The 17,464-nt window shown below is 55.4% G+C and overlaps 1 long non-coding RNA gene across 2 annotated transcripts in view, besides 1 other annotated feature; it reads left to right on the plus strand.

Annotated features, from left to right (window-relative positions):
- Positions 11,835 to 12,006: a silencer, noted in NCBI's record as "fragment chrX:389565-389736 (GRCh37/hg19 assembly coordinates)". NCBI's record gives its function as "represses an EF-1alpha promoter that drives an FKBP-Casp9 reporter gene in an ReSE screen in K562 erythroleukemia cells {active_cell/tissue: K562}" and the evidence as "EXISTENCE:reporter gene assay evidence [ECO:0000049][PMID:32094911]".
- The window catches only part of LOC102724521 (uncharacterized), a 42,736-nt gene continuing 38,297 nt past the window's right edge, over positions 13,026 to 17,464 (plus strand). The window contains exons 1-2 of one of the 2 annotated variants that reach the window (XR_001756015.2): positions 13,026 to 13,494; positions 16,842 to 17,099. This is a non-coding gene — a long non-coding RNA (uncharacterized LOC102724521). The remainder of the gene's footprint in view (positions 13,495 to 16,841; positions 17,100 to 17,464) is intronic. The other variant, XR_007068454.1, reaches the window with a different exon arrangement.

Consider the following 17,464-nt stretch of genomic DNA (forward strand, 5'->3'; position numbering starts at 1 on the left):
CCACCGTGCCAGCCTCATTTTGTATTTTCTGTAGAGATAGGGCCTCCCTATGTTGCCCACGCTGCTCTGAAACTCTGGGCTCCAGCGATCCTCCCATCTCGGCCTCCCAAAGTGCTGGGATTACAGGTGTGCAGTACGGCTCCCAGCCCTGATGTTGGGTTTGGAGAACAAGAGGGTGATACGTCGCCAAATTCAAACTCACGTCCTCCTGCTTCTGAGCATGTAGGGAGCTGGTGGGCGGGGAGGTGGGTGTGGGGCTGCGGCTCTGGGCTCCCCGGGTGCCCACGCTGAGCTGTCCAGGAGGCTGACAGGGAGGACGTCCCTTCGGTATCCCCCTTTTGCCACAGAAGAGCCCGTGTGGACCCCTGAGTCCCGGACCACCGGGCAGCCAACGCCATCTTGGGGTCTCCGGATTGAGACCCCAAGAGAGGGTACCTGGATCTCGTGCAAGAAAGAATTCACGGCAAGTTTGCAGTGCAAAATAAAAGCAAGTTTATTTAGAAAGTAAAATGGGGCCGGGCGCGGTGTTTCACGCCTGTCATCCCAGCAGTTTGGGAGGCCAGGGCGGGTGGATCACGAGGTCAGGAGATCGAGACCAGCCTGGCCAGCACGATGAAACTCCATCTCTACTAAAAATACAAAAAATTAGCCGGACGTGGTGGTGGGCACCTGTAGTCCCAGCTACTCGGGAGACCGAGGCAGGAGGATGGCGTGAACCCGGGAGGCGGAGGTTGCAGTGAGCTGAGATCGCGCCACTGCACTCCAGCCTGGGCGACAGAGCGAGACTCTGTCTCAAAAAAAAAAAAAAAAGAAAGAAAGAATTGTCTATACGGGTACACGTGCTCTGCTACAAAGGTTCGTGATAAAGGATTAATTTTCTTAATTACTATATTTTGCAAGAATCAGTATTATAGTTATTATTTTTTGAGATGGAGTCTCGCTCTGTCGCCCAGGCTGGAGTGCGGTGGCGCGATCTCGGCTCACTGCAACCTCCACCTCCCGGGTTCAAGCCATTCTCCTGCCTCAGCCTCCTGAGTAGCTGGGACTACAGGCACCCGCCACACCCGGCTAATCGTTGTACTTTTAATAGACACGGGTTTTACCATATTGGCCAGGCTGGTCTCGAACCCCTGACTACCTGATCCGCCCGCCTCGGCCTCCCAAAGTGCTGGGATGACAGGCGTGAAACACCGCGCCCGGCCGAGAATTGGTATTATGTTTAGAGCAAACTTAGGAAAATGCCTTTGTTCTCCAGATATTAAGATACCTGGACACTCCCAAGTCTGGGGCTGTTTAGTAAATACTTTTTTTTTTTTTTTGAGATGGAGTTTCGCTCTTGTTGCCCAGGCTGGAGTGCAGTGGTGCGATCTCAGCTCACCTCAACCTCCGCCTCCCGGGTTCAAGGAATTCTCCTGCCTCAGCCTCCCGAGTAGCTGGGATGACAGGCGCCCGCCACCACGCCCGGCTAATTTTGTATTTTTTTTAGTAGAGACGGGGTTTCTCCATGTTGGTCAGGCTGGCCTCGAACTGCCAACCTCATGTGATCCACCCACCTCAGCCTTCCAACGTGCTGGGATTACAGGCGTGAGCCACCGTGCCAGTAAACATTATCAATTTCTTCCTTTTTTTTTTTTTTTCTGAGATGGAGTCTCACTCTGTCCCCAGGCTGGAGTGCAGTGGTGCCATCTCTGCTCACCGCAACCTCCACCTCCCGGGTTCAAGTGATTCTCCCGCCTCAGCCTCCTGAGCAGCTGCGATTACAGGCACCCGCCACCACGCCCGGCTAATTTTTGTGTTTTTAGTAGAGACGGGGTTTCACCGTGTTGGCCAGGCTGGTCTCGAACTCCTGACCTCGTGATCCGCCCGCCTCGGCCTCCCAGAGCGCTGGGATTCCAGGCGTGAGCCGCATTCGTTCCCTTGACCGTAAACGTCTGCAGGCGAGGAATCAGCCGTCAGTCAAGAGGGAGTCACTGCGGTTCATTCGCCTCTGACAACGGGTCCTCCCGGACGCCGCGTGGCTTGTTCTGAAGCCGGGCCGGAGACACCGTCTGGACCCCACGCTGCTCCCCAGGGCCGCCTCCAAGAGGATGCCCCACCGCAGGGAGCCGTGCAAACACCATAAATCCTGCTAATTGCCACCTTCCCGGCAGCCAGCATCCGTGGTCTCTCTATAGTGGCCTCACGGTCTCCAGCCAGGAGCTCGATCTTTGCTTCTGCACAAACATTACCGAGAAACGTCTGCAAACCCCGGGCGCCCGGCTCCCACATCACAGGCGCTGCGCCTCAGAACACAACTTGTTTCTGCCGATCCACCCCCCACCGCCGCCTCCCCGGGCACCTCGCCACGCAGGACGCTCCGGGCTTCCCGTAAGAACACCCGTGTCTGTGACCTGCGGGTGGGGTCACCTCCCCGGCCTGCATGCCAGGTGAGGCGGGGGGGGCTCACCTGGGGCTCTCACCTGCCCGAGGGGGTCCTGCCCACGGCTCTGCGACAGAATAGAATGATCAGGGCGATGCGTGGCAGTGCCCTCTCCCTGCCCCAGCCCGAGGGCACCTGTTCCCCTCCTATCTCAGCCACTCTGCCCACGTCTGTCCCCACAAAACGCGGTCGGTGCAGCCCTGGGGCCCGGTCACCGTACCGCATCCTCCTGACAAAGACAGAAAGAAACCGGCTCTTTGATTCTAACATTAAAAAAAAAAGGGCTGCCTTCTGCTTGCAAAAGAAATGCACGCAGGCTGCTGGCAGAAAGTTCTGGAAGATGATAAAGGAAAAAAATAAATTAATTCGAGAAAACTTTGAGACGCCTAACAGCACAAATACCCTCAGTCTTTAGAGAACAGCTGGGGATACACATATTCTGGCTCATTTCCCCATGGAACTTTTATTTTTATTTTTTGAGATGAGTCTCTCTGTGTCGCCGAGGCTGGAGTGCAATGGTGCGATCTCAGCTCACTGCAACCTCCGCCTCCCGGGTTCAAGCGATCCTCCTGCCTCAGCCTCCCAATAGCTGAGACGACAGGCGCCTGCCACCACGCCCGGCTAATTTTTGTATATTTACTAGAGACGGGGTTTCACCGTGTTGGCCAGGCTGGTCTCAAGCTCCTGACCCCAGGTGATCCGCCCGCCTCGGCCTCCCAGAGTGCTGGGATTATGGGTGGGAGCCACCGCGCCCGGCCCCTCTTCCTTCCTTCCCTTCCTTCCTTCCCTTCCTTCCTTCCCTTCCTTCCTTCCCTTCCTTCCTTCCCTTCCTTCCTTCCCTTCCTTCCTTCCTTCCCTCCCTTCCCTCCCTCCCTTACCTCCCTTCCCTCCCTCCTTTCCTTTCCTTCCCTTCCTTTCCTTCCTTCCTTCTTTCTTTTTCCTTTTCTTTTTGAGATGTAGTCTCACTCTGTGGCCCAGGCTGGAGTGCAGTGGTGTGATCTCGGCTCACTGCAACCTCCGCCTCCCAGGTTCAAGCGATTCTCCTGCCTCAGCCTCCTGAGTAGCTGGGACGACAGACGCCCGCCACCATGCCCGGCTAATTTTTGTGTTTTTTTAGGTAGACATGAGGTTTCACCACATCGGCCAGGCCGGTCTCAAGCTCCTGACCTCCAGTGATCCGCCCGCCTCCGCCTCCCAAAGTGCTGGGATGACAGGCGTGAGCCACCGCGCTTGTCCTGCTCTGTAAATTTTGTTTTGGGCCAGGCGTGGTGGCTCACACCTGCAGTCCCAGCACTACGGGAGGCCGAGGCACGAGGGTCGCTGGAGGCCACGAGTTTGAGTCCCCCAGCCTGGGTAACGTAACGAGACCGTGTCTTTAAAAATCATAAAAGACAGATCAGCTGGGCGTAGTGACACGGGTGCCTGTCGCCCCGGCTCCTGAAGAGGCTGAGGTGGGAGGATCGCTTTAGCCCAGGAGTTGGAGGCTGTAGCGAGCTGTGATCTCACCACCGCACTCCAGCCTGGGCGACAGAGCAAGATCTTGTCTCGAAAACAAAACAAAACAAAACACAAAAATTTAAAAAACAGATTGAGAACCCTTGGCCCCCACCTCTTACCAGCTCGGTCACAATTGCAAACCAGAGGCCGGGCACGGTGGCTCACGCCTGTCATCCCAGCGCTTCGGGAGGCCGAGGCGGGTGGATCATGAGGTCAGGAGCTCGAGAACATCCTGGCCAACATGGAGAAACCCCATCTCTACTGAAAATACAAACTTAGCCGGGCGTGGTGGCTCACGCCTGTCATCCGAGCACTTTGGGAGGCCGAGGCGGGCGGATCACGAGGTCAGGAGCTCAAAAGCAGCCTGACCAACATGGAGAAAGCCTGTCTCTACTAAAAATACCAACTTAGCCGGGCATGGTGGTGCACGCCTGTCATCCCAGCGCTTCGGGAGGCCGAGGCGGGCGGATCATGAGGTAGGGAGCTCGAGACCAGCCTGACCAACATGGAGAAACCCTGTCTCTACTAAAAATACAAAATTAGCCGGGCGTGGTGGTGGCAGGTGCCTGCAATCCCAGTTACTCAGGAGAGGCTGAGGCAGGAGAATCGCTTGAACCCGGGAGGCGGAGGTTGCAGTGAGCCGAGATCGCACCCCTGCACTCCAGGCTGGGCAACAGAGCAAAAACTCTGTCTCAAAAATAATATAATAATAATAATAATAATAATAATAATAATAAAAACAACTGTTTTCATGCTGCAGACAGCACACAGGCCAGGACGTCAGGGTCTCGTGAGGGGCCGTCGGAGAACGTCTAAGGGACGTCCCTGCATTCCTGGCTGGAGGTCCTGCGCCAGCGCCCTCCTTGTGAGAACACTTTCGCTCTGCAAACTCTCAGAGCCCCCACCTGCTCCCGCCTCCCGTCTGTCCTGGTTCTTGGGACCCCGGAGCCTTCTCTGTCCAGACCTCCCAGGTCCTGACGGGAATCCGGATAAACTCCTTGGGGCGAAGGTGTTAACGGCAGGGCCCCTGTCTAATGTATTTCGCCACCCAGATAAAATGAGTGTTTTCACAGCTGCCGTTAATTTCTTACCCTGAGGAAGAAAGGAAGGACTTTGAGGCACCTGCGGCCGGGTTGGGGTGGGGCAGGGGGATTTCTGGACGCGGACGGCGTGTGGGGAGTTCCTGGGGTCCCCAGAGCCACACCACGTAGGTGGCAGCCGGCTCCGTCCTGCAAAGCCCCGGCTTCGGTGAAAGATTTATCACCTGCTCGGCCTCGGAGACGGGGAAGAAAAACACAGCCTGGAAGTGGTCCTGGCTGATGGACGGGCCCCTGGGGAGCTGTCCCCAAATGCGCGTCTTCTTTCTCCTTTCTGTCACAGCCTCCCGGCCCTGCCCTGGCTGAGTGGGGCTTTCAGTGAACGCTTGTTGAGTGTCCACGGAGCTGTGAGTGCTGTTCCGGGTGCTGGGTACGTGGTGGGGTGTGTGAGGTTCCCTCCTCTCTAGTGCAGAGATCAGGAGTGAGTAGACAAAGAAAATAGCATCTAACTGCTGCTTGTGATGAGTTTTTTTTTTTTTTTTTTTTGAGACAGAGTCTTGCTCTTGTTACCCAGGCTGGAGAGCAATGGCGTGATCTTGGCTCACGGCAACCTCTGCTTCCGGGTTCAAGGCATCCTCCTGCCTCAGTCTCCCGAGTAGCTGGGAGTACAGGCACCTGCCACCACGCCTGGGTAATTTTGTATTTTTAGTAGAGACGGGGTTTCACCATGTTGGTCAGCCTGGTCTGGAACTCCTGACCTCAGGTGATCCATCCATCTCGGCCTCTTAAAGTGCTGGGATTACAGGCGTGAGCCGCCATGTCTGGCCTTTTTCTTTTTTTTTTTTTTTTTTTTGAGATGGTCTTGCTCTCATTGCCCAGGCTGGAGTGCAATGGTGCAATCTTGGCTCACTGCAACTTCTGCTTCCGGGTTCAAGGCATCCTCCTGCCTCAGCCTCCCGAGTAGCTGGGATTACACGTGTGCACCACCATGCCCGGCTAATTTTGTATTTTTAGTAGAGACTGGGTTTCACTATCTTAGTTAGGCTGGTCTCGAACTCCCAACCTCATGATCTGCCCGCCTCAGCCTCCCAAAGTGCTGGGATGACAGGCATGAGCCACCGCACCTGGCCTATTTTTTTTTTTTTTTTTGAGACAGAGTCTTGCTCTTACTGTGTAGGCTGGAGTACAGTGGGCGAACTCGGCTCACTGCAACCTCTGCTCCGGGGTTCAAGGCATCCTCCTGCCTCAGCCTCCCGAGTAGCTGGGATTACAGGCGCCCACCACCACTCCTGGGTAATTTTGTATTGTTAGTAGAGACTGGGTTTCACTATGTTAGTCAGGCTGGTCTCGAACTCCTGACCTCAGGTGATCCACCCACCTCGGCCTCCCAAAGTGCTGCGATGACAGGCGTGAGCCACCGTGCGTGGCCTTTTTTTTTTTTTTTTTGAGATGGAGTCTTGCTCTCATTGCCCAGGCTAGAGTGCAATGGGCGAACTCGGCTCACTGCAACCTCCACTCCCGGGTTCAAGGGATCCTCCTGCCTCAGCCTCCTGAGTAGCTGGAATGGCAGGTGCATGTCACCATGTTTGGCTAATTTTTTTTTTTTTTTTTCATAAAGACAGAGTCTTGCTAGGTTTCCCAGGCTGGTCTCAAACTCCTGGCCTCAAGTCATCCTCCCACCTCAGCCTCCCGAAGTGCTGGGATTCCAGGCGTGAGCCACCGTACCTGGCCCCTTCAGCATTTTTAAAATATCATTACCCCTTCAAAGACACCTCCAGGAGCAGCCAAAGTTGGTACCCTTGTTATTCCCCATCTCAACACCCCGTGAATTCATTTCTCCAAAAGAACTCATCACAAGCAGGCCACGTGCGGTGGCTCACACCAGTCATCCCAGCACTTTGGGAGGACAAGGCGGGTGGATCATCTGAGGTCAAGAGTTCGAGACCAGCCTGGCTAACACGGTGAAACCCCATCTCTACTAAAAATACAAAAAATTAGCCGGGCATGGTGGCGGGCACCTGTAGTCCCAGCTACTCGGGAGGCTGAGGCAGGAGAATCACTTGAACCCGGGAGGCAGAGGTTGCAGTGAGCCAAGATCGTGCCACTGCCCTCCAGCCTGGGCAACAGAGCGAGACTCCGTCTCCAAAAAAAAAAAAAAGTGCTGAAAAGAAGCAAGAAGGAGGAGCTGGCTGTGCGCAGGGAAAAGCAATGCAGGAAGAAGGATCAGCGTGTGCAAAGACTCTGAGCTGGGAAAAACCTCTGTGTATTCCGAGAACCGAGACAGGGAGGCAGGCTTAGGGTGGAGAGGAGGATGGCAAGGTGGAGGGTTGAAGGGTTTCCCAGCAGCCTGCAGGGCTGATTGGGAGCTCAGATACTCCATGACAAGGACAAAGGGAAGGGGTCTGTATGCAGCTGTGTCTCCGCTCTCTTTCTTGCTCAGAGCATGGAGACCTCGAGTCCAGCTTCCTTTGCGTGCGTAGGGGCCTCTCTGGGTGATGGAGCCCTCCCGAGTGGTAGGTTGGGAGAACCACAGAATTAACCGCACCCTCCAGAGTCTCTCCCAACCAAGGGCTGTCGACGGTGGGTGCATAAATACCTGGGAGGGGCCGGGTGCGGTGGTTCACGCCTGTCATCCCAGCACTTTGGGAGGACAAGGCGGGCGGATCACCTGAGGTCAAGAGTTCGAGACCAGCCTGGTCAACATGGTGCAACCCCCCCGCCTCTGCTAAAAATACAAAAAATTAGCTGGGTGTGGTGGCGGGCGCCTGTAATCCCAGCTAGTCGAGAGGCTGAGGCAGGAGAATCGCTTGAACCCGGGAGGCAGAGGTTGCAGTGAGCTGAGATGGCACCACTGCACTCCAGCCTGGGTGAGAGAAAGAAACTGTCTAAAATAAACAGGGAAAACACCTCTGGGGCTTATGTCTTTCCCGCCTGCATCCGATGAACCTTAGGTGACCGCTGGGGACGGTACTGAGGGTTCCAGGCAGAGGAAAGCCACATCTGCATGCAGAGAAAACTCCAGTGGGGACAGAGGGGGTGCATCGTGTTTAGAAGCCACGTGGGGGGTGGGGGGGCAGGTGTGTCTCATCGCACACGTGTGAACGGAGTGCCGGGGGCCCCTCTTCTCCTGAGCCCCCAAAGGCACGAGCCGGTGGGTCTCGGGAGTTGTGGGGCGATTCCTGGAGGTGGCTCTGTGCAAAGTGTTGTCATATCAGCCAGGAAAACACCCCCTTGCCACAGCCTCAAGTCAACCCAATCTCGTCTGAAAGGTTTGGATGGAGGTGGGGGGGTCCCTGGCTTCCGTCGCTGGAGCGGTGGCCGCAGGGCTGGTCTTCACTGTCATCGTGATGTCACCATCGTCCTCACGTTGGGTGTCTCCCTGGATTCTCGGCTCTCCAGGGAGGCGGCGACGGCCCATCCCACCAGCTGCCCACGGAGGCGGGGTCCCCGGGATGCAGGCTTGACCTCAGAGGAAAACCCACCTGAGCCATTCTAGGGGGAGGGGACACCAGGACCCCCCAAAGGCCTGGTCGGCTGAGGTCATGGTTCATCCCGGGGTTGGGGGAGGGGACACCAGGACCCCCCAAAGGCCTGGTCGGCTGAGGTCATGGTTCATCCCGGGGTTGGGGGAGGGGACACCAGGACCCCCCAAAGGCCTGGTCGGCTGAGGTCATGGTTTATCCCGGGGTTGGGGGAGGGGACACCAGGACCCCCCAAAGGCCCGGTCAGCTGAGGTCATGGTTCATCCCGGGGTTGGAGCAGAACGGGCCGTGGAGGATGGGCTCAGGGAGTGTTTGTTCATGGCGTGAATTCACACGGAATCTTCCTGCCTCCCTCCTTCCTTCCTTCTTTCCTCCCTCCCTCCGTCCTTTCGTTCCCTCCTTCCTTCCAATTTCCTCCCTCTCTCCCTCCCTGCCTTTCTTTGTGGACAGCCTGGCATCTGCACCGTGTCCTGGCTGAGCCTCCTGCCAGCTCTGCGGCCTCGTTGAGGGGGGCGGGGTGCGTGTCTCACCATCTTTGCACCTCAGCTTCCCCATCTGTGACGCAGGGACGGCAACAGGCACCCCTCGAGGTCACCCCTCCAGCATTTGTTTACAGCTGTCTCACATGAACTTAGATCCATGGAAGAGCGTCACCCTGACTCGTCAACCTGCAAAAACGGCCCAGGACAGAGAGGGGGGCCCTTGGGATGGTGGCGGCCGGGACCCGAGGCTGTTGTCCGGTCGTAGAGCCTTAGAGGCTGTTGGCGGTGTAGACGCGGGTCCCAGGCTGCAAGCTGCCTCTCTCCTCTGCCTCAGGCTCTTCTTTTCTATTTATTTATTTTTAAGACAGGGTCTCGCTCTGTCACCCAGGCTGGAGTGCAGTGGTGCCATCTCGGCTCACAGCAGCCTCCAACTCCTGGGCTCAAGCCGTCCTCCCGCCTCAGCCTCCCGAGCAGCGGAGACCACAGGCATGTGCCGGGCTAATTTTCTAATGTTTTGTAGAGATGACGTCTTTGCTACGTTGCCCAGGCTGGTGTTGAACTCCTGGGCTCAAGGCCTCCTCTCGCTCTGGTCTCCCAAAGTGCTGGGATTAGAGGTGTGAGCCACCGCGTCTGGCCAAGACGTCTTTTGGGGGGGACATAATTCTCAACCAAATTGCCTCTGTCTCTCCTTCTCACTCTCTCTCTCTCCACACACACACACACACACACACACACACACACAGCTTGTATGTATATACGCATTTATACAGGTGTGGAGGTGTTTGTGCATATATAGATATATATGATATATACGTATATTTAAGCCATTAGAACATGATTTCCATTGCTAATATTTCAGTGAATATCTCTTTTCTAGCTCTAACTCCACACACACACACAGACACACAGACACATCCCTTGTATGTATATATGCATTTATACAGGTGTGGAGGTATTTGTGCATATAGAGATATATATGATCTAGATGTATATTTAACCCATTAGAAAATGATTTTCATGCTGATAGTACTTCAGTGAATATCTCTTAAAAATATTGATCGCACACGTCCCTCATGAAAAGCAATGGTTCCCTAAACACAGACTGTCTGGTCCATCTCGGAGTTTCCACAGTCGTGACTCACATGCAAGCAATGTACAACTATGGCAGGGCTGGGCTCCTTCCCTCCCAGACAGGCTCAAGGTTATGCTCCCTGTGCCGGGATCAGAATCTGGAATCAGGACGGCCACTCCAGTGACATGAAAGGCACACGGGTGACAGGACGGACACCCCAGAGACAGGACGGACGCCCCAGAGACAGGACGGACGCCCCAGAGACAGCACGGAGACCCCAGAGACAGCACGGACACCCCCAGAGACAGGACGGACACCCCAGAGACAGGACTGATGCCCCAGAGACAGGACGGACGCCCCCAGAGACAGCACGGAGACCCCAGAGACAGGACGGACGCCCCAGAGACAGGACTGATGCCCCAGAGACAGGACGGACGCCCCCAGAGACAGCACAGAGACCCCAGAGACAGGACGGACGCCCCAGAGACAGGACGGAGACCCCAGAGACAGCACGGATGCCCCAGAGACAGGACGGAGGCCCCAGAGACAGCACGGACGCCCCAGAGACAGGACGGACGCCCCAGAGACAGGACGGACACCCCAGAGACAGCACGGACGCCCCAGAGACAGGACGGACGCCCCAGAGACAGGATGGAGGCCCCAGAGACAGCACGGACGCCCCAGAGACAGGACGGACGCCCCAGAGACAGCACGGACGCCCCAGAGACAGGACGGACGCCCCAGAGACAGGACGGGCGCCCCAGAGACAGGACGGACGCCCCAGAGACAGGACGGACACCCCAGAGACAGCACGGACGCCCCAGAGACAGGACGGCCGCCCCGGCCCCGCGTTTTCCATGACATATTTTCTCTTCGGCCACAGGATGGCAGTGCCAGCTACGGAAACGGTGGACCGTTGTCGGACCCTTTGCTGAGTTTTGAAACACGTCACTGCCTTCAGCCTTGTGGGTCCCCGGGCTGCGAACCCCGGGACCGCCTTCCCGCCTCGTGGGCCGGGGCTCAGGTCTTTACATTCATCCCAAACCGGGTTCAAGCCCCATCCCTCCCCCGGCTGCCAACCCCGTGCCGTTCAGGCCCCGTAACCGGCTACTTCGGAACTGACGTCGTGAAACCTTTGCTCGACTGTGTTTCTGACGCTCCCGTCACAGAACAGAAGCTGTCGGGAGTGAGCAATGGTCTAGCCCAGGAGAGGAAAATCAGCCGCGTTTCACTTTGCACCGTCATCTCCTCAGCCGCCCCGTTCCCTCCCACACTTGCAAGATTCCGAGGGAGGAAGCCGCTTCTCGGACCCGGGTCCCAAGCTGTGCAGAAAAGGCCAAGGACACATTTCCGTGTCTGTAGACGCAGCAGGCGGCCGCCAGGGCCTCTTGGGCAAAAGACTCCCATTCCCGGCTTTGCCTGCAGACACCCCTCCTCACACGGGCTCTGGAGGTCTGTTGGGGTTTTCCTCAAAAAGTTTATTTTTTTTGTGGTTTGCTTTTCTAGACAGGGTCTCATTCTGTCATCCGGGGGCTGGAGCACGGCGGGAATGATCTCGGCTCAGAGCAGCCTCCGGCTACTGTGGCCTCAAGTGATCCTCCCGCCTCAGCCTCCCGAGTAGCCGGGACCAGAGGCACCTGCCACCACGCCCAACTCATTTTTTTGTATTTTTTTGTATTTTTTGTAGAGACGGGGTTTCTCCATGTTGCCTGGGCTGGTCTTGAACTCCTGGGATCAAGCCGTCCAGCACCTCAGCCTCCCAACGTGCCGGGATGACGGGTGTGAGCCACCGCACCGGGCCTATTTTATTTTATTATTTCTTTTGTAGAAATTGTTTAAGTGGCTACAAAAGTCCACAAACATCCTCCCTGAGATTCTCCCTTAGAATAATCGTCTTCGTGGGCACACAGCATGTGCTGCTGCTGACCTGAGTGGCCTCGGCTCGACGTCTAGACGGCTCAGCGTTTGGACAGTTTCCAATCAGGGTCTGTCACCCAGGCTGGAGTCTGGGTGTGATCTCGGCTCACTGCAGCCTGTTTCCTCCCTCCCTTCCTTTCCTCCCTCCTTCCTTTCCTCCGTCCCTCCTTTCCTCCCTCCTTCCTTTCCTCCCTCCCTGCCTCTCTTCCTTCCTTTCTTCCTGGACAGCCTGGCATCTGCACCGTGTCCTGGCTGAGCCTCCTGCCAGCTCTGTGGCCTCGTTGAGGGGGGCGTGTCTCACCATCTTTGCACCCCAGTTTCCCCATCTGTGAGGCAGGGACGGAAACAGGCACCCCTCGAGGTCACCCCTCCAGCATTTGTTTACAGCTGTCTCACATGAACTTAGATCCATGGAAAAGCGTCACCCTGACTCGTCGAGCTGCAAAAACGGCCCAGGACAGAGAGGGGGGCCCTTGGGATGGTGGCGGCCGGGACCCGAGGCTGTTGTCCAGTCATAGAACCTCAGAGCCTGTTCAAATCAGGGTCTCGCTCTGTCACCCAGGCTGGAGTCTGGGTGTGATGTCGGCTCACCGCAGCCTCCACCTCCTGGGCTCGAGCGATTCTCCTGCCTCAGCCTCCGGAGGAGCTGGGACCACAGGTGCCCGCCACCACGCTGGGCCGATTTTTACAGTTTTTGTAGAGATGGGGCCTCACTGTGTTGTCCAGGCTGGTCTTGAACTGTTAACCTCAAGCGATCCTCCTGCCTCGGCCATCCAGGGTCCTGCAATGATGGGCGTGAGCCACTGTGCCTGGCCTATTTTTTATTGCTGAGGGTTTTGCAGAAATCATGTAAGAAGTGGCCGGACGCAGTGACTCACGCCTGTCATCCCAGCACTCTGGGAGGCCGAGGCGGGTGGATCACCAGAAGTCAGGAGTTCGAGACCAGCCTGGGCAACATGGCGAAACCCCGTCTCTACTAAAATACGAAAGAAATTGGCTGGGAGTGGTGGCAGGTGCCTGTAGTTCCAGCTACTCAGGAGGTTGAGGCAGGAGAATTGCTTGAACCTGGGAGGTGGAGGTTGCAGTGAGCTGAGATCGCACCATTGCACTCCAGCCTGGGCAACGAGAGTGAAACTCCATCTCAAAAAAAGAAAAAAAGGCTGGACACAGTGGCTCACGCCTGTCATCCCAGCACTTTGGGAGGCTGAGGCGGACAGATTGCCTGAGCTCAGGAGTTCGAGACCAGCCTGGCCAACATGTTGAAACCCCGTCTCTACTAAAATACAAAAGAAATTAGCTGGGAGTGGTGGCAGGTGCCTGTAATCCCAGCTACTCAGGAGGCTGAGGCAGGAGAATTGCTTGAACCTGGGACACGGAGGTTGCAGTGAGACGAGATTGCCCCATCGCACTCCAGCCTGCAACAGAGCGAGACTCCTTAACAAGGGAGGCTATTCTGACACCTGCTACCATGTGGAAGAAGCTTGACAATATTGACCAATCAGCCAGACACAGAAAGACAAGTCCTGTGTGATTCCACTTCGAGGAGGTCCCTCGAGTCACCAGAGTCACAGAGACAGAAAGTATAACGGTGGGTGCCGGGGGCTGAGGAGGGCGAATGGAGCTGTCGTTGAAGGGGGGGGTCGCAGTTTCGGGTTTAGAAGTGGAATTTTGGAGACAAATCACGGGGATGGTTGCAGAAAAGTGTGAGCGTGCTTGTTACCCCGGAACTGTGCACATAAAGATGTCTCACCTGTTGGCCGGGCGCGGTGGCTCACGCCTGTCATCCCAGCACTTGGGGAGGCCGAGGTGGGTGGATCACTTGAGGTCAGGAGATCAAGACCAGCCTGGCTAACATGGTGAAACCCCGTCTCTACTAAAAATACAAGAAAAAAATTAGCCGGGTGTGGTGGCGGGCACCTGTAGTCCCAGCTGCTCGGGAGGCTGAGGCAGGAGAATGGCATGAACCCGGGAGGCGGAGGTTGCAGTGAGCTGAGATCGCACCACTGCACTCCAGCCTGGGCGACAGAGCGAGACTCCATCTCAAACAAACAAAAAAGGGCTCGTGTGTATGAGGCTGGGGACGCAGGAGAGGGTCTCTCCCCCTGAAACTCGGGGGGTCCTGGGAAAGAATCCAGCCTCCAGCCTGGCCCTGGGAACCCTGGACCAGGCAGGGGGTCACTGCCCCCTTCCTGGGGAGTCTCAGCTGAAAATAGCTCATCTCACAGGGGACCCGCACGGCTGACGTCCAGGACGAGCCCGAGACTCCTCAAGAAAAGCCTCGTGTTAAACACACGTGTGTCTCCTCGCCTGCCGGTTTAATGCCCAGTCGTGGGGTCCTGGGTTGTGGCCACGAAGTCCTATTCCTCTGTCGCCAGGGTGAGAAGGTGGCTGTCGGCAGGGATTTTGGGATCAGGCAGGTGACTTCTCACGAAGGCTGGTTTCTCAGCCTCACATCTGCCGACATCGGGGGCTGGAGGATTCTCCGTCGTGGGGCGTCCTGTGCCCTGTGGGGTGTCGGGGACATGTTCTCACTCGGAGGACACATTGATTCAAACCATAGGATACACAGTTGATTCATACATGTATGATTGATAGGTGATTGGTTGACAGATAGTTGATGGATAGATATTGATATAGATGCATGATTAATAGGTGATTGACAGATGATAGACATTAATATAAATGTATGATTGATTGGTTGACAGATGATAGATAATTGATATAGATGCATGATTAATAGGTGATTGACAGATAATTGATAGGCATTAATATAAATGTATGATTGATAGATGATTGGTTGACAGATAATTGATATAGACACATGATTAATAGGTGATTGACAGATAATTGATAGACATTAATAGAAATGTATGATTGATGATTGGTTGACAGATGATTGATAATTGATATAGATGCATGATTAATAGATGGTTGATAATTGACAGATAATTGGTATAGATGCATGATTGATAGATGATTTATTGACAGACAATTGATACATAAGCGATACAGATGCATGATTGATAGGGAATTGATTGACAGATGATTGATAATTTATATAGATGTATGACTGATCAGTGATTGGTTGATAGGTAATTGATATAGATGCATGATTGACAGATGATTGGTTGTCAGATAATTGACCGATAGTAATGGATAGCTGATTAATAGATAGATAATTGATTAATCAATAATTGATAGATGATAGATAAAGAATCTCTCATGCCCAGGCAGCTTTCTCAGCTCTGGCACTGCTGATGTTTGGGACTGGAGGACTCTCTGTCTTGGGGCCACCCTGGGTGCTGCAGGGTGCTAACTCTCTTGATGAGGCCGTCCTGGGTACTGTAGGGTACTGAGTCTCTGTGATGAAGCCGTCCTGGGCTCTGTAGGGTGTTGAGTCTGAGTCTCTGTGATGAGGCCGTCCTGGGCCCTGTAGGATGCTGAGTCTCTGTGATGAGGCCGTCCTGGACACTGTAGGGTGCTGAGTCTGAGTCTCTGTGATGAGGCCGTCCTGGGCCCTGTAGGGTGTTAAGTCTCTGTGATGAGGCCGTCCTGGACACTGTAGGGTGCTGAGTCTCTGTGATGAGGCCGTCCTGGGCACTGTAGGGTGTTGAGTCTGAGTCTCTGTGATGAGGCCGTCCTGGGCCCTGTAGGGTGTTGAGTGTCTGTGATGAGGCCGTCCTGGGAGCTGTAGGGTGTTGACTCTGTGGTGGGGCCGTCCTGGGCGCTGTAGGGTGCTGAGTCTCTGTGATGAGACCGTCCTGGGAGCTGTAGGGTGTTGACTCTGTGGTGGGGCCATCCTGGGCGCTGTAGGGTGCTGAGTCTCTGTGATGAGACCGTCCTGGGAGCTGTAGGGTGTTGACTCTGTGGTGGGGCCGTCCTGGGCGCTGTAGGGTGCTGAGTCTCTGTGATGAGGCCGTCCTGGGAGCTGTAGGGTGTTGACTCTGTGGTGGGGCCGTCCTGGGCGCTGTAGGGTGTTGAGTCTCTGTGATGAGGCCGTCCTGGGAGCTGTAGGGTGTTGACTCTGTGGTGGGGCCGTCCTGGGCGCTGTAGGGTGCTGAGGAGCGTCCCTGGGCTCCACCCAGCAGATGCCAGTTCACCCCCATGTTGTGACATGCAGACATGTCCCCTGATATTGCTGAGTGTGTCCGGGGAGGGGGCAGGATGTCCCCTGGCTGAGAACCACACTGCACTAAGGAATTAAGAGGACGGCCGCACTTAGAGACACAGTTGCCCATGAGCTCATACCGGCTTCTCCAAGCAGGTCACTCTGAAATCTTGTTTTTTTTTTGTTTTTTTTTTTTTTTTTTTTTTTTTTTGAGACAAAGTCGTGCTCTTGTCGCCCAGGCTGGAGTGCGGTGGTGCCATCTCGGCTCACTGCAAGCTCCGCCTCCCGAGTTCACACCATTCTCCTGCCTCAGCCTCCCGAGTAGCTGGGACTACAGGTGCCCGCCACCACGCCCGGATACTTTTTTGTATTTTTAGTAGAGACCGGGTTTCACCGTGTTAGCCAGGATGGTCTCGATCTCCTGACCTCGTGATCCGCCTGCCTCGGCCTCCCAAAGTGCTGGGATGACAGGCGTCAGCCACTGCGCCCGGCCCAACAGCTCTTTAAGTGGCTTGATTATGACCCTTGCACGCTGGCACCTGTCTTTGGGATCTTGGCATGGGCATGGACCCATGGATTAGTCAAACACCAACAGGGGCTCAGAAGGAAGGAGAGAATCTATATGGGAGGCTGGCACCTGGCAAGGGATGATCCCTTCATTGCTGCAAAGGCAATGAAGAAGGAAGAAGGAGGCAATGAACAAAGGAAGAAAGGAAGGGAGGAGTGATGGAACGAAGGAAGGAAGGGGAAGGAGGGAGGGAAGGACGAAAGGAAGGAAGGAGGGAGGGAAGGAAGGAAGGAAGGAAGCTTCCATTCTTCCATTGTAGCAGCAGCGTACACTGCCCAGCCCGGGCTTCGTTTCCACTTTCTGTGACCTGGTGTGGCGGTGAGTCTTACTCAGCGTGCTTGAGCCGAAATGTCACCAGCTGCCCGCCGACCTGGGATGACACCTTGGGCCGTTCTGTTTTCTCCCGTTCACCGGTCAAGACGCTGAAACTCGGGAGCTTTTGGCGGCCGAGCTGCGTGAAGGGACTTCAAGAGACGAGGAGACGGACCCCGTGGAAACCTCTCCCACCTGGCGATTGGTGAGGAGGACAGAGGCGACGGCAGAGGCGGTTTCATTTTGTGCTTTGAGACGGCCGTTTTGAGGTTGGGAGGCAGCCGCGATGGGAGTTGGGTTTGTCAATGGCATTTTTTTTTTTTTACTTTTTTATTATTATACTTTAAGTTCGAGGGTACATGTGCACAAAGCGCAGGTTAGTTACATACGTATACATGTGCCATGCTGGTGTGCTGCACCCATTAACTCGTCATTTACATTGGGTATGTCTCCTAATGCTGTCCCTCCCCTCTCCCCCAGGAAACAACAGGTGCTGGAGAGGATGTGGAGAAGTAGGAACACTTTTACACTGTTGGTGGGACTGTCAACTAGTTCAACCATTGTGGAAGT

This window comes from Homo sapiens, chromosome Y (genome assembly GCF_000001405.40).
Source record: "Homo sapiens chromosome Y, GRCh38.p14 Primary Assembly".
In the NCBI taxonomy this organism is placed as follows: domain Eukaryota; kingdom Metazoa; phylum Chordata; class Mammalia; order Primates; family Hominidae; genus Homo; species Homo sapiens.